This window comes from Homo sapiens, chromosome 4, assembly GCF_000001405.40.
Source record: "Homo sapiens chromosome 4, GRCh38.p14 Primary Assembly".
Lineage (NCBI taxonomy): Eukaryota > Metazoa > Chordata > Mammalia > Primates > Hominidae > Homo > Homo sapiens.
The window spans coordinates 142849575-142876939 of NC_000004.12; the positions used below are offsets into that span (position 1 = coordinate 142849575).

The 27365-nt window shown below is 39.7% G+C and overlaps 2 long non-coding RNA genes across 2 annotated transcripts in view; one reads left to right on the top strand and one right to left on the bottom strand.

Moving 5' to 3' along the window:
* The window catches only part of USP38-DT (USP38 divergent transcript), a 396420-nt gene that overhangs the window by 61133 nt on the left and 307922 nt on the right, over positions 1-27365 (bottom strand). The gene's annotated exons all lie outside the window — the stretch shown is intronic.
* LOC124900788 (uncharacterized) lies at positions 1900-7835 on the top strand. Its single transcript, XR_007058286.1, has 2 exons — positions 1900-2077; positions 7658-7835. It is a non-coding gene; the product is annotated as an uncharacterized LOC124900788 (long non-coding RNA).

A 27365-nucleotide genomic window follows, 5' to 3' on the forward strand; every position in this document is an offset into this window, starting at 1 on the left:
AACGACTCTTAAACTTTATAACTTGTGAACCAGTTCCAAATTCTCCAAGTACTGTGATTCTTCCAGCTACCAAACCCCAGCCAACAACCTTGGCCAGGGATGGTAATCAAGTGACATTTTCATACCTACTGTAGTAATTAGGTAGATTATAGTGGGAGGCTGAAGAAGAAGAAAAAGGATGAAAATTCCCAAAATGAGGGAAGGAATACAGGTCATTCCTGACCACTACTATCTCCTATTCCTGGTTGTTTCATCAACATTGACACAAAAGACAAAAGAAAGTAGGAAAAAGAAATATTAAAAAAGCAATAATGTCTATGGTGTATTAATGCATATGCATGTTTGAATATTGAATAAGATGGAATGCCTCTTACTGTTGGTAGTGCTCGAAGATAGCTGTTCCCAGTATAAGTAGCAGTATGATTTTATGATCTCTCGGCATGGGGCTGGGTGAGTATGAGAAAGAAATCAAGTTTTTCACAGACAGTTTACTTTAGCTTCTTTTTTCATGGCAAATTAAATAAGAGATTTTTAAAATAAAACAAATGAGTGTGCTAGAATTTTACATTGATTGAAAATAAATATTCGTGGCTCTTGCGCTTTGCATAGTGGTTATATTTGTAAAATTGTATGTAAATCATATATTTGAAAATGAGTCACATTTCAAATATAATAGGGTGGTGAATCTTAACATTTTTGCAGTCATAAATCCATTGGAGAATTTGAGGAGAGCTGTGGACTCATTTCCCAGAAAAATATGAGCATGCACACACACAGTTACAATGGGATGTTATATGACATATTTATTTGAGACCTGGAACTTAACACTTTATATTGCTTTTGTCTTCCCCCAGTCATTGTTATTTGAACAAATGAAATAAAGACTCCAGATTCTTAAAACCTTCAAAATGCCCGGTATGTACAAGCCAAAAAATGGGTTGGGGTGGGGGACATATGTGAATGCAGAGAACTAGCTCCCTCTTCACCAGCTCCTGCTCCAATGAGTCCTAAATAAGCTGTAGTAGGAAATGAAGACTGAGCTCTTAGAAGGAGGGGAGAGAGTTATAATGTGGGGAATGCTGTATTCGTCCACTAGGGATGCCATAACCTCTTACCAACAGGTTTGGTGGCTTAAACAATAGAAATGTATTTCTCACAGTTCAGGAGGCTGTAAGTCAAAGGCTGAGGAATAGGCAGGTTTGGTTTCTGAGGCCTGTCTCCTTGGCTTGCAAATGTTGCTGTCTCGCTGTGTCCTCAGGTGGTCTTTCCTGTGTGCATTTGCAGCCCTGGTGTCTGTGTGCGTCTAAATTTCCTCCTCTTATAAGGACACCAGTCAGATTGGATTAGGGCCTGCCCTAATGGCCTCTTTTAATCTAATTGTCTTTTAAAGGCCCTATCTCCAAATGCAGTCATATTCTGAGATACTGGGTGCTAAGGCTTCAACATATGAATTTGAGGGGGACAAGATTCAGCCCATAACAAATGTGCACTACAACAAACTCCAGAAAGGGTCTGGGGGTGAAGTTTGGATATAAATTTCTCCCTTCTGTAAAGAGGACCCAAGAGTAAATACTTGTACTGTTTTCCCCTTGGAGTATCAAGAAGGCAAGGGTGTAAAGTGGGAATATAAATGCTAGCATGCCTTATCTAGATCCTAAAGGGCTAATGATCCCTGGGATTTTGTTGCCTAAGTGATGAGGAAGAGGCTGTGGTTCCTTTGGGCTATAGGAGGCCTGGAAGTTAGTCAGGAGTGACAGCCAGCAGGACAGGTAATCACCAAGAGGTCCCCTGGGAGGGCGACCAGATTAAATGCCAAGGAAAGGGCGTGGCCTGTCTATGGAAACATAAAGGTGTGGCTACAATTGCCATGGCAATGACCTCAGAAGAGTCAGTGGCTATGCACTAGAGTAATGCCATCTTCATTCACACCTCTAGAATGGAAGCCAAGTCAGCTCTTCAGAAAATGACAGACATGTCCCCCAGTGTCATGATGCTGTGTAAGTCTCCCCTGGACCAACAAGCTCCCCTGGAAGTAAAGGCGAAGGAAAAATGGGAGGGGCAGCAATACTTAAACTGAGTAAGTTTTAAACCAGGGTAGACTTGGTTTAGATTACTGGATACAACTAAGAAAACTAAATTAAATTTGCTATTTCTGAGTACAAATAGGGGCTTATAATTAAGTTAATTTTATGGTAGAAAAATTATGTTCCACTTTTTATACCCAAGGTTTAAAAACTTAACTGATATCCTTTTATATTTCATGTTTTAATATCTTCTCAGGAAGCTCATTGATACCCCTGAATAGCATCTATGATTCCATATTAAGAATATTTGTCCTAGATGATCTGATTCTTTAAATCTGGTTGTAGGAAAAATATATTTAACTGAAAAAAAATCTGCTAATATATATAATTCTCACTGATGTATTGTTTGAAATGCTATTTTCTTTTTTTTTTTTTTTTTTTTTTTTTTTTTTTTGAGATGGAGTCTTGCTCTGTCACCCAGTTTGGAGTGCAGTGGCACGATCTCAGCTCACTGCAAGCTCCACCTCCCAGGTTCACGCCATTCTCTTTCCTCAGCCTCCCGAGTAGCTGGGACTACAGGTGCACACCACCACGCCCAGCTAATTTTTTGTATTTTTGGTAGAGATGGGGTTTCACCGTGTTAGCCAGGATGATCTCCATCTCCTGACCTCCTGATGCTGCCTGCCTCGGCCTTCCCAAAGTGCTGGGATTACAGGCATAAGCCACCGCATCTGATCCTGAAATGCTATTTTCTTAAAGAGAGTAGTATCTGTAAGTTACAACATAATAGCTTACATGATTATGTTTAGCAAATGCCGGCAAAAGAATAAAATCACAAATGAAAAATTATAGAAAAGCATTAGGTAAAGATAGCTATATTCAAATTTAGGGGGATTGAAGGTGACAGTATTATGCTGCTTCATTTCAAGAAGTAGGAAGCTTTTTTTAACAGAAGTCTTCAAAAAAGAAAGCATCTGAATTAATTATTTTTGTTACTCTCCCTATTTTCATCCAAACACTTTTTTATTACCTAATTATGTCACTAAAAGCATAAAATGGAAAAGAACCTTATATATCAGACACATTTTAGGAAATGTTTGTGGTAATCAGAGAGATTGATGAGAGCCACTCGCTCTTTCCAGAAGTGAGCATCTTACCTCTGAATATTTTGTTAATTTTCTTCATCAATGTCTCTATCTTATCTTCCACACTTAAAGACATAAATAGATTCTTCTCACCTATTTTCAAAACTTTCTCTATATCTAATCATCTTGTCAAAATACCATCCTGGGTCTCTTTTTCTTGGTATAATCCAGCTCTGCCATCTCCTGGTGACCTGATTTTGGCTGAAATAGACCAACTGTAATCACCAGAGCAAGTCAGAAGAATTGGTCAGATGTCAGGAGAAACTAGAACCTCTTAGTTAAACCTGTATCTCTGGAGACTCCTCTCCTTCATTTGTTCATCAAGGCAAAATTCGTGCTTCAGAATTGGACAAATTAGGGCTCCATTCATGGTGTCACATTCACCAGCTGTGTGACCTTTCATAAGTGCCTTAAAATTTCTGAGTCTCTGTTTCCTTATCTGTAAAACTAGGGATAATAGTCCCTTCCTCCTAGAGTGACCAAAAATCCAAGACACTGTGAGGACATGACCTGCTGTCCATCTTGTGCTACTTTTTTTTTTTTTACCCATAATCTTTTGCTGAGACTGAAGAAGATGGAGATGAACATGGCAACAGCAGAGTGTCCTCATGAAATCCTCCAACGTTTGTGTTCTAGGCTAGCTATTTCACCATTACCTACAACCTCACATTTGTCATAGAAATACTAGTCCACACCTGTGAAAAGTAACACCCTTCTGGAGAATCTGGCTAAAGTCCGTGCCATATGAGCAAAGAATTTTCCAGAGAGTTTGTTATGGAGACTCTCGGCAGAACCACTTCTAACTCTCAGTCTATCTTTACAACCCTCTTCCCTATATCTTCAATTCAGTTCTAACAAGTGTTCACTGAGCATCTACTACTTGCCACAAATTGTGCTTGGCTCTGGGAATAAAAAGGTGAAAAGGGCACCATTTTGTCTCCCTTCTTTGGCAGAGTCAAAGTTGATTTTCATAAACCTATCTTCTATTATTTATTTCCTATTTGGTTTACTCTAACATTATATTTATTGAGTGTATGAAAGTTATCAGTATCAAAATGGAATGTGCATGTGCAACCCTGATGTGTCTGTATGTGTCTAAATTTCCTCCTCTTACAATGATGCCAGTCAGATTGTATCAGGGCCTGCCCTAATGGCCTCATTTTAACCTAAGCATTTTTTAAAAGTCCTATCTCCAAATACAGTCATATCCTGAGGCACTGAGTGCTAGGGCTTCAACATATGAATTCTGGGGTGAGGGGGACACAATTCAGCCCATAACAGATGTCAAACACTAATGTTAAATTAAGAAAAAAAAACCCTCCCTAACAAACAGCGCCAGGGAAGGCCGTGAAGAAAGGGTTCCCACACGAGTATCCTCGTAACAAAACTCTCACAAAGAGCTCTGCAAAAAGCACAACCTGACACTTTAGGCCATCACAACCTTACACAAAAAATAGTTCTGCATGGACATCTGCCTTGCAACTGCCCGTTCAACCCAGCCTGGAATCATCCCTGGTATTGGTATTTGTAGCCAAATAATATCATTTTGAATCAGTTGTATAATCCTCCTCCTTTTTCCTTTAAAAACCTTTGACTTTCTTTACCGCCCTGAATATGCACATGGTTTCTATGACATGCACACATATTCCCATTGCAATGCTCTATTCTCAAATAAGTAACTTTTTCTCTAAGAGAGCCTCTCTGTGTTTGTTACTTAGGTTAACAGTGTCTAGCACACACAAGGTAAGGGGATGTGGCAACACAGCGATGAGCAGATATAATTTAGTTGAGGCGACAAGGAAAGTATGCAAATAGGTACAAAATGAAGTGAGATATTATATATCAATAGAGTAAGCGGAAGTGCCATGAATATTAGAAGGCAGGAGAAACCAAATCGAGTTGGAAGGATCAGAAAAATCTTCATGAAGTGGCATTTGATAGATGGAGGATTTCAGGGAACATAATTGGCAGGCATCCCATCACAGGCATGAGTAAGGCCCTCCTGGTAGACTTATCCTTCAGGTCTGATTGGAACATCACCTACTCTGTGAAGACTGCCCGGTTAATCCTTTTCTGTGGTCTCCTAGCACTGAGCATTTTACTTGGTTGTGTCTCTTACTGCACTGTATTTGTTTACCCATCTGTCTCCTTCACTGGGTTGCAAGCTCCTCCTAAGAGTAAAACCATGTTTTATTTAGGTTTATGCAACAGATGCAAAGGCCCCAGAAAATTCTGAGAGCTTGGAATCTAGGGAATGTTATATTTATTTATTTTTAAGTGAAATTAGATCCAATTTGAACTTCTCACTAACTTTTTGAAAATCTGTCAGTTTGGGGGGTTCCTCTTTGGCTGTTTTGGACTCCCTATTTGGATGGGGATCCACACCACAGATCAGCACCTTCTGATCCATGGCTTTCTCAGTACCCTTCCCTGCTCCACAAGGTCATCAGGAACCTTGCATCTCTGCATGGCATACCTGTCCAGATACTTCCCTCTGCCAATGCTCTCTAGCATGTTACACCATGCGGGGTGTGAGACTTCTGAGACACATTGTGTTTGGAGTTCTTCAAATTGTATCTTGTTATATCTACTCTCTCCCACTGCCAATCAACCTGTAAGGAGGAACAAGGAAAATCACCATTCTCCTGCCCTTCCTCCTCCTCATTTTCTGCCCTATCTCCTCTCCCAGCTTTCTACTTTCCCACCCTATTCCCAAGGCTCCTACATCATCTGGTGTCGCTTGTGCTTCCCTTTCTTGGGACCATAATGAGAGAGTAGATTCAGAGAAAGAATTTGTTACCACAAGGAGAAAATTCATCTTGAATACTTCAAAAGTAGTATCCAGTGTTACACAAATATGTGACTGTGTATGTATGTATATTGTGTATGCACGTGTGGAATCACTAACTTTTTTAAAACTTTAGACATTCCAGAGTAACTTTTTTTTATATACACTGAAGTGTTTGTATCTACAGCATACTCCAGAAAAATATAACGTTACAGATATTTTTCTTTGTAAATAGAATACAAGCTTCTCACACAGAATCACTGTAACATTCTCTAAGTTAAAAGCTGAGAAATCATTATAGATAGCTCAAAAATGTTTTTCCTTTGAAACACAGCACTTATGGGCAAATAGGATCATTTGAAACCTATTTCAAAAAAAGAAGGAAAAAGTTGAGAAAATTCATCAATGTGAATAGACAACCAAAGACAACCATTTTATTTGGCCTAAAATGAAGTTACATTTTACAGGACTGAATTTTAGTTTCATGAAAGTTATAATAAAAACAAATAAGTGATTCACTTAATGCTTTCTGTAATGTAAAAATAAACTTCCCCCTCCATCTGAGTTACCCTTTTCTGGTTTTATACCCAAAAGCTCTAGCTGAGAGTAGACTCAAGTATTTTTTAAAACTTTGATAGATGGGATATGCCGGGGTGAGTGGGAACAGAAGGCAAGGGAAACACCACTATTTTAAAACTGTGACATTTTATCAAGTTCTCCAAATGGAGATTTAACTTGAACCATGTGGTCAAATTTTTTTCTATTTTGGGAAAAAGTACTTTGTGGGTTTTTGTAATGGTAAAGTCAAAAAGAATTATATTCTACAGTGGGAGTTCTAAAATAGTGGGAAGGGGTAAACAGCTCTGTAAGATGATGAAAAGTGTTGTCTTCTAGATGATTCTGGGTCCTACCAAATTTATGAGCATGATGTATTTTGGAGGAAGGTTTTGAACTGAGGGATAGGGTTAGTGGATAAGGGAGAAACTGGATTTGCCTCTTGCTGGACGTCAAAAGACTTTAGGGGAACGGGACCCCAGGAAGGGAACCCATAACCAAAGGTATTTTTCTTTTAAAACTGGGAAATACTGCCTGTAACATGTTGGCAGAACAAGTTGCATCCCTTCAGCACCCCCATTTGCTCCATCCCCGTATTTTAGCTCAGAATGCTGCAGCAGAATATGATAGACTGGGTGGCTTAAACCACAAACATTTATTGCTCACAGTTTTGGGGGATGGAAACTCCAAGTTCAAAGTGCCGGCAGTTTCTGTGTCTTGATTCTTGATTCATAGACAGCCATCTTCTCATCATATCTTCACATGGTCTCACCAGACTAATCATTTCTTCATGCCTCTTCCTTATAAGGACACTAATCTCATTCATGAGAACTCCACCCTCATGACTTAATTACTTAATTAGTAGCCAAAGCCCCACCTCCTAAGATTATCACATTGCAGATTCGCATTTCAACATATGAATTTGGAAAGAAGGAGAAAACATTAAATTAAATCCATAACACTCCCCATCCCACGTACTCTTCATGAAGGACTTCAGAAGTATAGAAGACTAAGAAATCGCATGGTATTTTTTCTTTTTCTTCCTCCACTGTCATTCCTTCTTGTGCTTACCATCCATCTCCCAGGTGTAAAGTAGAGTCAGTCACAGAATCTTAGCCTAACCTGATAACTTTGTTCCTTCCCAGGATGAGCAAGGGAGGCAGCAACAGTCTGGAGAAACCAGCCATGGTGTTGGAACCAGAAGATGATTAGGTAAAGGGGCTTTCCAAACCAGAACAAATGGGTGGAATATATAAACATGTTTTGGATCAAAAAAAAAATACTAGACTTCCTAAAATAAAACAGGATGACAGCCCTAACTAATCTTATTTGTTAAAGGAAGTGTGATCCTTGAAAGCTGAAGAAATTGCAAATGTTTGGGTGATAGTTACAAGGAATACAGACACACTGGGCAAACATGAAATACTAGGAGTCTGCGGTATTTGGCCTGTAATGGTGGGTCCCTTCTCCCTGTATCTGTTATTTTTCTCTGCCAGAGAAGTTGCTGGCATTGGTGTTACTGGGGTCCCAGTTACTTTCTACTACATAGCTACGAGGGGAGGGATGAGGAAAACTTGGGGAACTTGCCATCCAGGACCACAGTCTTGGTATCTTCTGCATGCTTCCCTTGGATAATTAATACTTCTCAGCAATTTTCATTGACTGTGCTTCTATTTAAAGTTAACCCTTTCCTCTCCTCCCACTAACTGAATGATCTCCATTCTCCTCAGTCTAAATTGCAAAGGGTAGCATTAGATTGAGGTCATTAACATCTCTCCTGTTAAAAAGAGAGCCTCTTGCAGCAAGCTGCCTCATAGGTTGCAGACCCATACATGGGTAAGCTAGCCTTAGATCAGATGTCCATGCTCTAAAGAGCATCTTAGCCGGGTGTAGTGGCTCAAGCCTGTAATCCCAGCACTTTGGAAGGCCGGGGTGGGCAGATCCCCTGAAGTCAGGAGTTTGAGATCAGCCTGATCAACAGGGTGAAACCCTGTCTCTCTAAAAATACAAAATTAGCCAGGCATGGTGGTGGGTGCCTGTAATCCCAGCTACTCGGGAGGCTGAAGCAGGAGAATCACTTGAACGCAGGAGGTGGAGGTTGCAGTGAGCCAAGATTGCGCCACTGCACTCCATCCTGGGTGACAAGAATGAAACTCCTCAAAAAAAAAAAAAAAAAGAGCATCCTAGCATTGTGTCTGAGAGCAGAGAGCTGTGAGCTGGGGATTTCAGCTTGAAGGGGATATTAGCCACCAGGCTAATAGAGGTCCTTAATGAAATGAATACACATTCACATAAGAAAGTAGCCTTTGATGAAAACACACACACATACAGTGAAATATGTTTCTACTAAAGGTCATGGAATCAAAGAGAGAGGTTCAAGTACTTGTCACCACTACAGACCACACTTATAGATGGGGTTAAGCCAAAACAGCATAGGAAAGTCAAATCTCTTACCGTTCAGGTCAAACTCCTAATATGCTATTAATTGTGGAGCTTTATCTTTCTAAAATGAGAGGAACACTGCCGGGTCTTTGTTCTGCTTTCTACACTAAAACATGCAGTTGTGGCTTTTATTAGGTCTGAAAGAGAAAGCATACTACGTGAAATAGTAAACCACAGCTTGATTGTCTCTTGATAATCTATATTCCAGGGAGGCTGCAGTTTATTTATCCAAGTATTGATGAAAGGCTAAATTTTTATAATGTACAAGCCAATTTAAACTGTTCTTAAAATGAATAAAGAAGAAAAGTCATACCTACTTGCACAATTACATAATTACATAGTTTTCAGCAATCTCTGAATGTTTCTTTCTTTTAAATTTTCTTGAGACGTAGCTATTTTTATATCACCTGTAGGTAGATTTTTTTTCTGGGAATCTGAGGAATAAAATTAAAGGTAAATGTGACTGGCTTCTATCTCAGTGACAGACAATATTCCCAATCCAAATGGCTTATTGGTGAAGAGGCTCAGAATCAATATTTCAGAGACTTGTTTTATCAAAGCCTGTAGTTCCTGGCCACTGCATTTCTCCTCTCCTTGTAGCTGAGCCATTTGACACTTCTCAGTTCCAAAGGCCTTTCATGAGAGGGTGTTGAAGACAGACACATGATACTGGAAGAGCCAGGTTTGAGATATTTATTGTTCATCCCTCCCAGAGCCTGTGTCCAGTTCTACTGACTGTATTTTTCCTTGTTAGTGAACCCCCACATTAAAAACAATTTTTTGAAAATTGGCTTTGTATCTTGGACAGGCCATTGAACTTTCAAAGGATTTATCTTTCATCTTTGACATCAAAATGTCTTATTAAGACATCTAAGCTACCTTCTGCTCATTGGGTTCCATACTAATAGTGGTGTCAAAGTAATTAACAGTGTGATGTTTTGTGGACTGGTGAGATGGCCAAAGTCCATGTGAGCTAGGCTAGGGGTCAGCAAACTACAGCCTGGAAGTCAAATCTGACCTGCACCCCATTTTTGTAAATCTTGCAAGCTAAGAGTGGTTTTTGTTTTGTGAAGTTGAAAAAAAAAAGAAAGAAGAAGAAGAATATGGAACAGAGACCATTTGTGGCCTGCAAAGCCTAGAATATTTACTATTTGGCCCTTTACAGGAAAAGTTTGCCAATCCCTACACTAAATTGTCATATAGAGCCAGAGAGTTGATGTAGCCCTTAGTCCATTACTGTTCCTGCCAGTTGAAAGGAAATTACTTCTGTGGTCTCTTTTTATTGGAGTATTTTTTTAAAAAGCATTTGCCAACTTGATAGATAGCTCTGTATATCAGACATCAGAGTCTGTGCCGACTGGCTCCAGAAAATAAACCACATATGGAACAGTGGCTTCAACAGGAATCACTCTCTCATTAAGTTTGTGATAATCCATTGCTATTATTCCGAAGACCCATCTATTTTCTCACCAGTCAAACGGGAAAGCTTAATGAGGATGCAAGAACCTAATGAGGATGTGGAGAAATTGGGGGATGTAATAAGAATTATGACCCCTACCTTTTCCAACTGCTTAATAGCAACCTTGGTCTCTACAACCCCTCCAGGTGTGTGGCATTTTGGTAGTACCCTTAGCACAGAGGCTTTCTCTGGCCCTTCAAAGCCTTCACTCCATGAATCAGAAAGCCAATGTGGAGATGTTGACGAGTATGTCTATTCCAACTGTGCAAATGGAAACTAGGGAAGTAAACGCAGAACAATTCACCAATGGGTCCACATTGTCCCACTGTGAGGCAAACATAGACAAAATCCCTACTTAGATTCCCTGACCCCTATAAGCCTCCTCAGAGTAGAAGACCACAGTGGCATTCTGGGTCCCCCAGGGTTGATATTAGCTAGAGCGCATGTCAATAATTCCCCAGAGATCTGGGTGGTTCGTTTTGCTGAGAGATGCCTACAAGCCCTTTTCAGGAGGTGATGAGAATGAAGATGTACAGTACATGCTTGTGGCACTGTCATAGGGTACTTCCTCAAGAGTTCCTGGCTTCCCCATCATTTATGGGCGATGGGTCTATGAACCAGTAATAGGACCATAACTCTTCATTGTAGTTCCTCAGATCACCTAGAGTTTTGTTTTTGCTTTGGTGTCAGTTTATACAGATCAAAGGGGATGATAATGGCTGCATTCCTCTTTCAGTCCTAGCAACTTCTCACTCCATTAGCCACTCCCAGTCAAACCTCGTGATCATCGCTCAAGTTCTACTATCGTTATATTGCAGTAACCACACCTACTTTGCCTCTGTCTTTGAGCCCTATCATTGTGCTGTCCTTTGCATTCTGCCATCTAGGCCCCTATCTCCCCATAGAAATCATTCTCCTACCTAGGTCCCCATCCCACTGTGGAAATCAGAGAGTCCTTTTCTTTGGCAGCTGCTCCTACAACCATCAGGTCTGGCCTGCAGAGGACAGCCATTCTGATACTTATCAAGTTATTTCTTGATGAAAGTAGTGCCTCAATGAAGAAGGTAAATTCTGGGCTCTCTTGTGAGGCATAGCTAGGTATAGATGAGTGATTTGCATGTGATAAATATACCCCAATGTTTCCTTATGTTTGCATCCATTTCTCTACATTATCCCAAGAAATTTCTGGCATCATAACTTAAGCATTGACTGCCAATGCACCCACATTTCTATCAAACACTCTGAGCTGCTCAAGTGAGCATATTGAACCCAGTATCTCTGGCAAGTGCACTCAATGCAAAATATTCAACCCAATCTAAAATTATGCTTCTCCTTTCCTGGTTTGGAGCCACTGAAATCCACTGCCACACATATTCCAGGTTTTTGCCATTGCATATGAGCAAACTCTTGTGATTCTTTTTGTTGGGTAAGACTTATCCCTTCAGCTTTGACTTGGTGTTTGTTTGCCACCACATCAGCATGCTGGATTTGCTTCTACTTAAGGATTGGAAGGAAATGCTAGAGGGTAGGGCATGTAGAGAGGATTGACACCTCCTTGTGGGTTAACTCCCTCCAGTGAGGTTATTGCAGGGCCCTCAGGCCAAAAAGAAACAGCCTCATAAAACAGGAAACAGGTTTGCTTCTGCTTTCAAGAAATACTTAATTTTGTCAAAGGCCTTTTCTGCATCTATTGAGATAATCACAAGGTTTTTGTCTTTGGTTCTCTTTATATGATGGATTATGTTTATTGATTTGCGTATGGTGAAACTGGCTAGCCATATGCAGAAAGCTGAAACTGGATCCCTTCCTTACACCTTATACAAAAATTAATTCAAGATGGATTAAAGACTTAAATGTTAGACCTAAAACCATAAAAATCCTAGAAGAAAACCTGGGCAATACCATTCAGGACATAGGCATGGGCAAGGACTTCATGACTAAAACACCAAAAGCAATGGTAACAAAAACCAAAATTGACAAATGGGATCTAATTAAACTAAAGAGCTTCTGCACAGCAAAAGAAACTACCATCAGAGTGAACAGGCAACCTACAGAATGGGAGAAAATTTTTACAATCTACCCATCTGACAAAGAGCTAATATCCAGAATTTACAAAGAACTTAAACAAATTTACAAGAAAAAATCAAACAACCCAATCAAAAAGTGGGCAAAGGATATGAACAGACAGTTCTCAAAAGAAGACATTTATGCAGCCAACAGACACATGAAAAAATGCTCATCATCATGGCCACCAGAGAAATGCAAATCAAAATCACAATGAGATACCATCTCACACCAGGTAGAATGGCGATCATTAAAAAGTCAGGAAACAACAGGTGATGGAAAGGATGTGGAGAAATAGGCACACTTTTACACTGTTGGTGGGACTGTAAACCAGTTCAACCATTGTGGAAGACAGTGTGGTGATCCCTCAAGGATGTAGAACTAGAAATACCATTTGACCCAGCCATCCCATTACTGGGTATATACCCAAAGGATTATAAATCATGCTGCTATAAAGACACATGCACACGTATGTTTACTGCAGCACTATTCACAACAGCAAAAACATGGAATCAACCTAAATGCCCATCAGTGGTAGACTGGATAAAGAAAATGTGGCACATATACACCATGGAATACTATGTAGCCATTAAAAAGAAAGAGTTCATATCCTTTGTAGGCACATGGATGAAGCTGGAAACCATCATTCTGAGCAAACTATCGCAAGGACAGAAAACCATACACCGCATGTTCTCACTCATAGGTGAGAATTGAACAATGAGAACACTTGGATACAGGGTGGGGAACATCACACACTGGGGCCTGTTGTCGGGTGGGGGGAGGGGGGAGGGATAGCATTAGGAGATATACCTAATGTAAATTACGAGTTAACGGATGCAGCACACCAACATGGCGCATGTAAACATAAGTAGCAAAGCTGCACGTTGTGCACATGTACCCTAGAACTTAAAGTATAATAAAATAAAATAAAAAGAAATACTTAGTGAAATTTGAGTTTTTAAGGTACTTGGAGACATAAGAATGTATCATATGTCCCTGGTTCAGTTTTCCTGGTCCCATTCCTTCCAATAAATGTCCTAATGCTCACATAAAAAGCTTTTTAAATGTATGAATTCATCCTGCCTTGCAGTTCAGCAACTTAAGAATCATACTGGTTCTGCTTTTTGGCTCTGTCAGTGCAGCAACTACAAGACAGAGGAGATTCTTAAAGGCAACCATAGAAGTTCCTTGATTATCTGACCATGCTTTAAACAGAGAACTTTAAGTCCCATTTTATCATTTTTTCTTTAAGCTTTTTGAAACAGAGGAAAAACTTCAGTACCTCACACACACACACAACAATCATTACATTCTTTATTTTTCCCATAATGATCAGCGTTACTTAACACTTCAAAACATCACCTTTGATAGACTTCTTATTCTAAACAACCCCAAGTGATTATTTAAGTTAATATATTAACAGCATGTACCAGTTATAATGCTCAGAGAATCTTAGCTGTCTTCAGTTCAAACTGGTGAGCGAATGAATCACAGAAGCTCATTTATTTGAGAGTCTGTTGCTTGCAACCACTGGAGACAGCAATTACTCTATTGGGATTTAATTGTACAGAACAAAAGCCACTTTAGGTTGTGTCAACAGAAAGAAATTTGTTTTATGAGTTGTGAAATGGTGTATAAAATTGTTTATAAACTGAAGAGACTTTAGACTGATCTTCCAGAAAAATCTCTTAAATCATGATGCTGAAATGGACCACCCAAAATGCTGTTGCCATGGTCATAATCAGGAAGCTGCCTGATAAATCAATAAGCCATGATGACAGCTGCTAACTCAAGATCAAAGCACTCCCACTTTGATCTGCACCAGCAAAAGTAGGCACCTCATGCCACTTTTCCCTCTATTTTTTGTCTAATTTTTAAAATTTGGGTAAAATTAACAGTTACACAGCCATCACCAACATCCATCTGCATAAGTCTTTTCATCTTATAAAACTAGAACTCCTGACTCATTCAACGCTAACTTACTACTTATCTCCCCTTCCCCCCCAGCCCCTCATAACCACCCTTCTACCTTCTGTCTCTTATGGTTTTGACTACCCTAAGTACCTCATATATGTGGAATCATGTGGTATTTGTCTTTCAGTGACTGGCTTATTTCACTTAGCAAATGTCCTCAAGGTTCATCTATGTGGTAGTGCATGTCAGAATTTCCTTCCTTTTGAAGGCTGAATGATATTCCCTCATATGTATATACCATATTTTGCAGCATTTATTCATCAGTGGACACTTGGTTTGCTTCCATATTTTAGCTATTGTGACTAATGCTGCTACGAACATGAGTGTGCAAATATCTCAAGGCCTTGCTTTTGATTTATTTATATGTATATACAGAAATGGAATCACTGGATCATATGGTAATTCTATTTTTAATTTTTTGAGGAGCTGCCATACTGTTTTCCACAGCACTGCATCATTTTACATTCCCACCAACCGTGCACAAGTATTCTGATTTGTCCACATCATCACTAACACTTATTTTCTATTTTGTCAATAGTAGCCATCCTAATGGGTGTGAGAGAGTATCAAATTGTAGCTTTGACTTCCGTTTCCCTGGTGATTAGTGACATTGAGCATCTTCTCATGTTCTTATTGGCCATTTGCATATCTTCTTTGGAGAAATGTCTATTGAAGTCCATTTTCCATTTTTGATTAGAGTTTTGGGTTTTACGTTGTTGAGTTTCCCTTCGTTTTTATTTCAGTTCTAGATTTAAGTCTTATGTGAGGCCATTTGGTTGGCAGAGCATACATTACATCCAGAAATGTGGGAAATGCAGATTTTAGCTCGACGGCCTCTGCAGTGTAGAAAGGCGCACTAGAAAGAGGTGGGAATCAATTCTGAGCAAGCCAATCCGCACTATCCATGACAGTTCTCTCCCTGAACACTTCCTGTGATTGGAACCCTGCTACCTGCTGACAGGATTGCCTGATGTCAACGTATCTGTCTTGCTAAATGTCCTTACATTGACAGCTCTTAGATTGTTCATACCATCCATTAGATAAATATCCACCATCCTATTATTTGGTATTAAAACTCTTCCTCAATAAGAACTACTTTCCTGGAGCATTTCTGTGTGCCTCTCCTGGTCATACTAAGTGCATGTAGCTTTCTGCTTACGAGGGTGAGCATTTCCTATCCCTGCTGCTGTCTTCACAGCACTTACCCCACAGAAAGATCTCAGGCACTGACAAGATATCCAATCTCAATGCTATGTTGTATCAAGTCTCATATATTGATAAATAAGTCTTAGTGGCATTAATCTAAATAAATTACTATTCCAAATTCTCAGAGAAATCCATTTCCTCTCCTATAAACTTTAGTTTCTTGGTATGACTTGGTATTAGTATTTATCAAGTCATATCCAGAAACTAAACAATATCTTGAAACTTCCTTTTAAATCAGATGCATGTACAAAGCTGTATACTTTTTCTGATTCAAATACTTCTTCTTGTTTCCAAAAGAATATTAATTGTGCTGATCCATTCTCAGTTAACTGGGTCTACCCTAATGAATGAATCTCTTTTCTTTCAAATCCCTTGACTTACTCTGTTGTCTTTGTGTTTGATTTTAAGATTTTTCTGGCCGGGCGCGGTGGCTCACGCCTGTAATCCCAGCAATTTGGGAGGCCGAGGCGGGAGGATCACGAGGTCAGGAGATCCAGACCATCCTGAACAACATGGTGAAACCCCGTCTCTACTAAAAAATACAAAAAAATTAGCCGGGCGTGGTGGTGGGCGCCTGTAGTCCCAGCTACTGGGGAGGCTGAGGCAGGAGAATGGCGTGAACCCAGGAGGTGGAGCTTGCAGTGAGCCAAGATCGCACCACTGCACCTCCAGCCTGGGCGGCAGAGCGAGACTCCATCTGAGAAAAAAAAAAAAAAAAGATTTTTCTGAAGAATCTAATACAAAACAAATGATGTAGCTTATTTCTACATGTAATTCGCTTTCAAAAAGTTTTTTTTTTCTGTCAATAAATTACATACAGATTAAATTTATCCTCACTACCCTAGGACCCTTCTGTGCTGGCCATACCAGAGTTTAAAAGGAGAATGGAGAAAATAGTAGCTTTGTCAAACTATGTTGAATCTTCCTAATAACTGGCCTATCACAGATTATATTCTTGATCTTATACACAATTTATATCAATTTGAATATAGAATAGGTAAGGAAGGTAAGGATTCCGTTTTATCTGTACTTGACATTTTTGTTAAATTGGTAACTTTTGCCACCAATAAAATATGCATTTTGTTCTAAAACAACTGTTATATATATTTTTGAGATTAGGTCTCCAGCATATAGTTGCAAAGTTTCTATCTTTGATGAGTTAGAATATTGGTTTTGTCTAAATGTGTCTGGCATGTTTGATTCTAAAAATAAGTTTTGGATAGCTTCCAGGTTAGCCTTCTGAGATTACATAATTTTCCCAAGTTATTAATATCATTCAATGATAATCATTCCATGCTTTTTTTAAAAACAACATGTGGTCTCCTTTACTACCATTATCATCCCTAAGTCACTCTTCTTTTCTTTTAAGGGGGTCTTGACTAAGAGAGGCATTAATTAATTCTATCTTCCTAATCAGCAGTAATAGGAAATGTGGGCCCCTCAGATAGCTCTGGTTCCAAGGACACCCCATGTACTTTCAGGCTTTTGAAAACAGTCACTTCTAGTTGTTCAGAATTCCCTTTTTAATTGTTCCCGCACTGTTTGCCAATGCAGAAGCAAGCCACATGGTAGGCTCTGCATTCCCCTGTGTTTAAATCCAGGTCTGCACATGGTTAGCAAAGCACGACACAGCAGACAAAATCAATGGCTTTGGTTCTCTGCAGCTTGTCTTCATGATCGATGGAATATTGCAGCTGGGCTAATTATGCGGCAATTTACATGGATTGTTAAGAGCGGCAGTGGTGAATCCTACTGACAACATTTGCCATACTAAGACTTGCTTCTTCTTGGCCTGTGCAGATACAGGATAATTGAAATACCTTCTGAATTTATATAATTTTTAGGTCCATAATTCCATGTGGTCCAAATAAGCCCAAGAGAGAATACAGCTTTCTATTTACATAAGGCTTTAAAATATGACTTGGAGATTAAAGTGGGCAAATTTTTTTCTTACAGGTTTCCAGTTATTATTCTGTTTTTTTCCTTTAAAATTAAAGCAGTTGCAGAACAGTATGCATGCACTTAATTTTATATATGAGCAAGTTGTGTCAGCCTATATCATTGTGCCTATAACACTGATTTAATATCAAATAGATCTCAAGACATTTTTTCACCTTTAAACATTAAACTCAATGGAGGCTTGAAGCTCTAGCTATTTTACATTTAAGAGTCAATTTCTGGAAAGAAATTTGGGCAAGATGGCCAAATAGGAACAGCTCCAGTCTGCAGCTCCCAGGGAATCAATGCAGAAGGCAGGTGACTTCTGCATTTCCAACTGAGGTACCCAGCTCATCTTACTGGGACTGGTTAGACAGGGGGTGCAGCCCACAGAGAGTGAGCCAAAGCAGGGCGAGGCATCTCTTCACCCAAGAAGGGCAAAGGGTTGGGGAACTCCCTCCAATAGCCAAGGGAAGCCTCGAGGGACTGTGCTGTGAGGAATGGTGCATTCTAGCCCAGATATTATGCTTTTCCCAAGGTCTTCCCAACCCGCAGACCAGGAGATTCCCTTGGGTGCCTACACCACCAGGTCCCTGGGTTTCAAGCACAAAATTGGGTGGCCATTTGGGCAGACACCAAGCTAGCTGCAGCAGTTTTTTTTTTTCATGCCCCAGTGGCACCTGGAATGCCAGCAAGACAGAACCATTCACTCCCCTGGAAAGGGGGCTGAAGCCAGGGAGCCAAGTGGTCTAGCTCAGTAGATCCCACCCCCAAGGAGCCCAGCAAGCTAAGATCCACTGCCTTGAAATTCTCACTGCCAGCATAGCCATCCGAAGTCTACCTGGGACACTTGAGCTTGGTGGGGTGAAGGGCATCTGCCGTAACTGAGGCTGGAGTAGGTGGTTTTCCCCTCACAGTGTAAACAAAGCTGCAAGTTCAAACTGGGTAGAGCCCTTTGCAGCTCCACAAAGTCACTGTAGTCAGACTGCCTCTCTAGATTCCTCCTCTCTGGACAGGGCATCTCTGAAAGAAAGACAGCAGCCCCAGTCAGGGGCTTATAGATAAAACTCCCATCTCCCTGGGACAGAGCACCTGGGGGAAGGGACAGCTGTGGGCACATCTTCAGCAGACTTACACATTCCTGCCTGCCGGCTGTGAAGACAGCAGTGGATCTCCCAGCACAGTGCTCAAGCTCCGCTAAGGGACAGACTGCCTCCTCAAGTGGGTCCCTGACCCCCGTGTCTCCTGGGAGACACCTCCCAGCAGGGGTTGACAGATAGCTCATACAAGAGAGCTCTGGCTGGCATCTGGTGGGTGACCCTCTGGGATGAAGCTTCCAGAGGAAGGAACAGGCAGCAATCTTTTCTGTTCTGCACCTCTGTTGGTGATACCCAGGCAAACAGAGTCTGGAATGGACCTCCAGCAAACCCCTGCAGACCTGCAGCAGAGGGGCCTCAGTGATAGAAGTAAAACTAACAAAGAGAAAGGAATATCATCAACATCAACTAAAAGGACATCCACAAAAAAGCCCATCCTAAGGTCACCAACATCAAAGACCACAGGTAGATAAATCCATGAAAATGAGCACAAACCAGCACAAAAAGGCTGAAAATTCCAAAAGCCAGAACGCCTCTTCTCCTCCAGAGGAACACAACTCCTTACCAGCAAGGGAACAAAACTGGTTGGAGATTGAGTTTGACAAATTGACAGAAGTAGGCTTCAGAAGGTGGGAAATAAAAACTCCTACAAGCTAAAGGAGCATGTTCTAACCCAATGCAAAGAACCTAAGAACCTTGAAAAAAGTTAGAGTAACTGCTAACAAAAGTAACCAGTTTACAGAAGAACATAAATGTCTTAATGGAGCTGAAAAACACAGCACAAGAACTTTGTGAAGCATACACAAGGATCAATAGCCAAATCAATCAAGCAAAAGAAAGGATATAAGAGATTGAAGATCAACTTAATGAAATAAAGCATGAAGACAAGATTAGAGAAAAAAGAATGAAAAGGAATGAACAAAGCTTCCAGGAAATATGGGACTATGTGAAAAAACCAAACCTACATTTGATTGGTGTACCTGAAAGTGATGGGTAGAATGGAACCAAGTTGGAAAACATACTTCAGGTTAGCATCCAGGAGAACTTCCCCAACCTAACAAGACAGGCCAACATTCAAATTCAGGAAATACAGAGAACACCACAAAGATACTCATCAAGAAGAACAACCCCAAGACACATAATTGTCAGATTCACCATGGTTGAAATGAGGAAAAAACGTTAAAAGCAGCCAGAGAGTAAGGTCAGGTTACTCACAAAGGGAAGCCCATCAGACTAACAGTGAATTTCTCTGCAGAAACCCTACAAGCTAGAAGAAGTGAGAATCAATATTCAACATCTGTAAAGAAGAAAAATTTCAACCCAGAATTTTGTATCCAGCCAAAGTAAGTTTCATAAGAGAAGGAGAAATAAAATCCTTTACAGACAAGCAAATGCTGAGAGATTTTTTGTCACCACCAGGCCTGCCTTACAAGAGCTCCTCAAGGAAGCACTAAATATGGAAAGGAAAAACTGGAATCAGCCATTGCAAAAACATACCAAATTGTAAAGACCATTGACACTATGAAGAAACTGCATCAACTAACGGGCAAATAACATGAACTAATGGGTGAAATAACCAGCTGGCATCATAATGACAGAGTCAAATTCACACATAACAATATTAACCCTAAATGTAAATGGGCTAAATGCCCCAATTAAAAGACAAAGCCAGGCAAATTGGACAAAGAGTCAAGACCCATCGGTGTGCTGTATTCAGGAGACCCATCTCAAGTGCAAAGACACACATAGGCTCAAAATAAAGGGATGGAAGTATATTTACCTAGCAAATGGAAGGCAAAACAAAACAAAACAAAACAAAACAAAACAAAACAAAACAGGGGCTGCAATCATAGTCTCTGATAAAACAGACCTTAAACCAACAAAGATCAAAAAAGAAAATAAAGGGCATTACATAATGGTAAAGGGATCAACACAACAAGAAGAGCTAACTATCCTTAATATGTATATACACCCAATGACAGAACCAATGACAAAACCACATGATTATCTCAATAGATGCAGAAAAGGCCTTCAATAAAATTCAACACCATTTCATGCTAAAAACTCTCAATAAACTAGGTATTGATGGAACATATCTCAAAATAATAAGAGCTATTTATGACAAACCCACGCCAATATCATACTGAATGGGCAGAAGCTGGAAGCATTCCCTTTGAAAACTGGCATATGAAAAGGATGCCCTCTCTTACCAGTCCTATTCAACATAGTATTGGAAGCTCTGGCCGGGGCAATCAGGCAAGAGAAAGAAATAAAGCGTATTCAACTAGGAAGAGAGCAAGTAAAATTGTCTCTGTTTGCAGACAACATGTTTGTATATTTAGAAAACCCCATTGTCTCAGCCCAAAATCTCCTTACACTGATAAGCAACTTCAGCAAAGTCTCAGGATACAAAATCAATGTGGAAAAATCACAAGCATTCCTATACACCAATAATAGACAGAGAGCCAAATCATGAGTGAACTCCCATTCACAATTACTAGAAAGAGAATAAAATACCTAGGAATACAATTTAGAAAAAATGTGAAGGACCTCTTCAAGGAGAACTACAAACCACTGCTCAAGGAAATAAGAGAGGAACAAACAAATGGAAAAACATTCCATGCTCATGGATAGGGAAAATCAGTATCATGAAAATGGTCATATTGCCCAAGGTAATTTATAGATTCAATACTATCCTCATCAAGCTACCATTGACTTTCTTCACATAATTAGAAAAAACTACCATAAATTTCATATGGAACCAAAAAAGAGCCCATATAGCAAAGACACTCCTAAGCAAAAAGAACAAAGGTGGAGGCATCATGCTACCTGACTTCAAACTATACTATACTGCAAGGCTACAGCAACCAAAACAGCATGGTACTGGTACCAAAACAGACATATAGACCAAAGGAACAGAACAGAGCCCTCAGAAATAACACCACATATCTACAACCATCTGATCAACCATCTGTTTTTGACAAACCTGACAAAAACAAGCAATGGGGAAAGGATTCCCTATTTAATAAATGGCATTGGGAAAACAGGCTAGCCATATGCAGAAAACTGAAACTGGACCCCTTCATTACATCTTACACAAAAATAAACTCAAGATGGATTAAAGACTTAAATGTAAGACCCAAAACCATAAAAACCCTAGAAGAAAACCTAGGCAATACCATTCAGGACATAGGCATGGGCAAAGACTTCATGTCTAAGACACCAAAAACAACTACAACGAAAGCTAAAATAGATAAATGGGATCTAATTTAACTAAGGAGCTTCTGCACAGTAAAAGAAACTATCATCAGAGTGAACAGGCAACCTACAGAGTGGGAGAAATTTTTTGCAGTCTATCCATCTGACAAACTACTAATATCCAGAATCTACAAGGAACTTAAACAAATTTAGAAGAAACAAACAAATAACCCCATCAAAAAGAGGGTGAGAGATATGAACAGACATTTTGCAAAAGAAGACATTTATGCGGACAACAAACATGAAAAAAAGCTCATCATCACTGGTCATTAGAGAAATGCAAATCAAAACCACCGTGAGAGACCATATTATGCCAGTTAGAATGGCAATCGTTAAAAAGTCAGGAAACAACAGATGCTGGAGAGGATGTGGAGAAACTAGGAACACTTCTACATTGTTGGTGGTGGTGTAAATTAATTCAATCATTGTGGAAGACAGTATGGTGATTCCTCAAGGATCTAAAACTAGAAATACCATTTGACCCAGCCATCCCATTACTGGGTATATACCCAAAAGATTATAAATTATTCTACTATAAAGACACATGCACACATATATTTATTGCAGCACTATTCATAATAGGAAAGACTTGGAACCAACCCAAATGCCCATCAATGATATACTGGATAAAGAAAATGTGGCACATATACACCATGGAATACTATGCAGCCATAAAAAAGGATGAGTTAATATCTTTTGCAGGGACACGGATGAACCTGGAAACCATCATTCTTAGCAAACTAATATAGGAACAGAAAACCAACCACCACATGTTCTCACTCATAAGTGGGAGTTGAACAATGAGAACACATGGACACAGGGAGGGGAACATCACACCCCAGGGCCTATTGGGGGGTGGGGTCTAGGGAAGGGATAGCATTAGGAAAAATACCTAATGTAGATGACTGGTTGATGGGTGCAGCAAACCACCATGGCGCGTATATACCTGTGTAACAAACCTGCACATTCTGCAAATGTATCCCAGAACTTAAAGTGTGATTTAAAAAAAGAGTCAATTTCTGAATTATTTCTCAGTTTGAAGAATATGTCCTATCCATTAGAGGAGAAAAATTTTCACACAGTGTTGTAGTACTCTTTATGACTACAGTTCACCAGTGCCTATGGTCACATAGTTGTGTGTATGCAATGTATGTGTATTCAAATTACTAGCCAAGGGCCACTGATGTTTTAAAGACAAGTGAAACAATAGTTCTTCTAAATGGGAAACATTATTAAAAAAACTATTGACTGGCAAGTTGTAGGTGACTCCAGTCACTCTTGAATTACTGAAAATAGGCAATTTGCTCTTTTTGCTTTTTACCTAAAATAAATGGAGTTCTTTCGACTCATGAATGCTATAATAAAAGGTCAAAATCTTTTATTCCCATCTCAGGAGCAATGTCTCTAAAAGACACCGTGCCCTATGCCTTTGCTGAGCAAAACAACTAGAGACGTAGCAATTTTTTATTATAGGATACAATGCTTTTCCAATGACCTTATGACTTTGGGACATTAAAAAGCCTGTCCATTAACAACACACAAAAACAGAAGAAACCTGAAGGAAAATGTCAATTCAAATGTTACATAAAATTTGTTTAACTGTATATGAATAAAAGAAAATGAGTTGCATGTCTTTTTAAAAAATAAATTGTTTAAAAATATTTGAATTTCCTTTTCTTATTTATATTTATTGAATATGTGAATGTGCACTTTTTGTTACCCTACTGATAATTGCTATTGATATTACTTGTGGTTTTGTTAAAGTAACACAAGTTCTAAGTTTAAATTTTTTATGACAGAATAGGTATTTTATAGAGAAACATAAGATTTTTTCTCATTGAATCACCATTGATGACTGTAAGTTTCAAGCTGATCTATCCGGTAAAAAAAAAATTCCATGAAGAGAGTTCACCACTAAATTATTCGTGGTTTTTTAAAAAAGTATAATTACAGAAGTATTAATATTCATTTGGTAAATTCAGAAAAGCATTTTTAATTTAGAAAACCTATTATAACCTACCCAGAGATATCTACTATTAATATTTTGATGGATTTTATTTCAATATTAAGTGGTTAAGAGCATAGGATCAAGAGCCATTTCAAAATACTGCTCTATCATTTACTAACCTTGAGACTTTAAGCAAATCACTTAGCTACTTTGTGCCTTAGTTTTTATATCAATAAAACAGACATGATAATAGACCTAAGTCACAAGGTCATTGACAGGTTTAAGTGAGGTAAAACATGTAAAGTGCTTAGAAAAAATCCTGGTACATAGTAAGAGTGCAATATGTAATAGTTTGAATATTATTGCTGTTTTCCCTTTCATTTTTTTATATTGTTGATTTATTATGTTTGGGATGTCACCAGCTTAAAAACAGTTATGAACTTTCTGGAAATTTTGGAAAATATGGTCAAAATTTAAAAATAAAATTGCACTTCTTAATACATTATCATACATAAGCACTGTTAATATCTGGATGCACAGTTTAAAAACCACCTCTGATCATAATAGACTCCAAAATACTCAGATGTGATAAATATATATATTTATAAATACATAGAAATAAATTTAACACAAGTAGTGAGAGACTTGTACACTAACAATTACAAACATTACCGAAGAAAATGAATTTCTAAATGATTAGGAAGACTTTCCTTATACATCAGTTGAAATATTCAATAGCATTAAGACTGTATTCTCCCAAAATTAATCTATAGCTTCAGCACAATATCTATCAAAATTCTAGTGGGCTTTTTTGGGGCATAAATTGAGAAGATAATCTTAAATGTATATGAAATTGCAAAATGTCTAGAATATACAAAACAATTCTGAAAAGAATAGCACAAGGAGGGGCCAAAATGGCCAACTGGATACAGCTGTGGTTGGCGGCTCCCACCGAGAAGAACAAAAATGATGAGTGAATCCTGCACCGGCAACTGAGGTATCCAGGTTCTCTCATTGGGATTGACTAGGCAGTTGGCACAACCCACAAAGAGTGAGGAGAAACAGGGTGGTAAGGCCCATCTGGGTGCCACACAGAGGCAAGAAGAGATCCCACCCCAAGCCAAGGGAGGTGGTGAGTGATTGTGCTACTCTGACTAGGAAACCACACTTTTTTCATGGATCTGTGCAACCCGTGCATCAGGAGATCCTCCTCATCAGCCTATGCCAGCCACCAGGGCTTTGGGTCCCAAGCACAGAGCTATGCAGATTCTTAGCAGCCACTCTGCTGGATACTGTTTAAGACTATGGGGCTCTGCAGGGGAGGGACAGACATCATCACTGTGACTACCTGCTGCCTAAGGTGACTGAGCTCCTAAGGGGAGGGATGGCAGCCATCGCTGCAGCTCCAGCCTGCCATTTTTCCCCTGCTGGTGCCAGGGAGACTGGGCAGTTTGGATCAAAAAGGAATTACCCACAATGCAGCACAGTGGCTGTGGCTCATGGCCCAACTGCCTCTTTAGACCAGACCCTGATGCATCCCTCTTCACCAGGTGGGGCTTCCCTGCAGGAATTTCAGCAACTCCAGCCAAGAGTTTAGGGACAGAATTCTAAACTCCCTAGGACTGAGCCCCTAGGAGGAGCGGTGGCCATTGTCTCCATGGATCAGCTGACTTAGTCTTTCCCCCTGCTGGCTCTGAGGAATCCAGGCAGCCCAGACAAGTAGGATTTCCCCCAGTCCAGTGCACCCCCTCCACCAAGGGGCAGCCAGAGTGCTTCATTAAGAGAGCCCCAGATCCCGTGCCTCCTGACTGGGTAAGAGTAAGATCCCTCCAGCAGGGGTCGTCAGACATGTTATACAGGAGTGTTCCTGCCAGCATCAGGTTGGTGTCCCACTGGGACAGAGATCCCAGAGGAAGGAGCAGGCAGCCATCTTTGCTGTTCTGCAGCCTCCACTGGTGACACTTTCAATTGCAGGAGGGACCCAGAAGAATAGGATCTGGAGTGGGCCCCAAGCAAACCACAGCAGCCCTATGGAAGAGGGGTCTGACTGTTAAAAGAAAAACAAACAAACAGAAAGCAACAACAACTGCATCAACAAAAAAGTGTCCCCACAAAAACCCCATCCAAAGGTCAGCGGCCTCCAAAATCAAAACTAGATAAACTCATGAAGGTGAGAAAGAATCAAAAAAAAATGCTGAAAACTCAAAAAGCCAGAGTGCCTCTTCTCCAGATGATTGCAACACCTCTCCAGCAAGGGCACAGAACTGGGTGGAGGCTGAGATGGATGAATTGTCAGAAGTATGCTTCAAAAGCTGGGTAATAGTGAACTTCACTGAGCTAAAGCAGCATGTTCTAACCCAATGCCAAGAAGCTAAGAGCCATAATAAAACATCACAGGAGCTGTTAACCAGAATAACCCAGTTTAGAGAGGAACATAAATGACCTGATGGAGCTGAAAAACACAACACGAGAACTTCACAATGCAACCACAAGTATCAATAACTGAACAGACCAAGCAGAAAAAAAGAATTTCAGAGCTTGAAGGCTATCATACTGAAATAAGACAGACAAGATTATTTCAAAAAAAAAAATAAAAAAGAATGAACAAAACCTCCAAGAACTACGTATAAGATTATGTAAAATGATTGAACCTATGACTGACTGGGGTACCTGAAAGTGACAGGGAGAACAGAACCAAGTTGGAAAACATACTTCAGGTTATCATCTAGGAGAACTTCCCCAACCTAACAAGACAGGCCAACATTCAAATTCAGGAAATCCAGAGAACACCACTAAGAAACTCTATGAGAAGGTCAACCCCAAGACACATAATCATCAGATTTTCCAAAGTTGAAATGAAGGAAAAAATGTTAAGTGCAGCCAGAGAGAAAGGCCAAGTCACTTACAAACAGAAGCTCATCAGACTAACAGCAGACCTCTCAGCAGAAACCCTACAAGCCAGAAGAGAGCAGGGGCCAATATTCAACATTCTTAAAGAAAAGAATTTCTAACCCAGAATTTCATATCCAGCCAAACTAAACATCATAAGCAAAGAAGAAATAAAATCCTTTTCAGACAAGCAAATGCTGAGGGAATTCGTCACCACCAGGCTTGCCTTTCAAGAGCTTCTGAAGGAAGCACTAAATGTGGAAAGGAAAACCAATTACCTGTCACAGCAAAAACACACTGAAGTACAAAGATCAATTACACTATGAAGCAACTACATCAACAAGTCTGCAAAATAACAGGCTAGCATCATGATGACAGGAGCAAATTCACACATAACAACATTAACCTTAAGTATAAATGGGCTAAATGCCCCAATTAAAAGACAGAATGGCAAGCTGAATAGAGTCAAGATTCACTGGTGTGCTGTATCCAAGAGACCTAACTCATGTTCAAAGACACATATAGGCTCAAAATCAAGGGATGGAAGAAAATTTACCAAACAACTAGAAAGCAGAAAA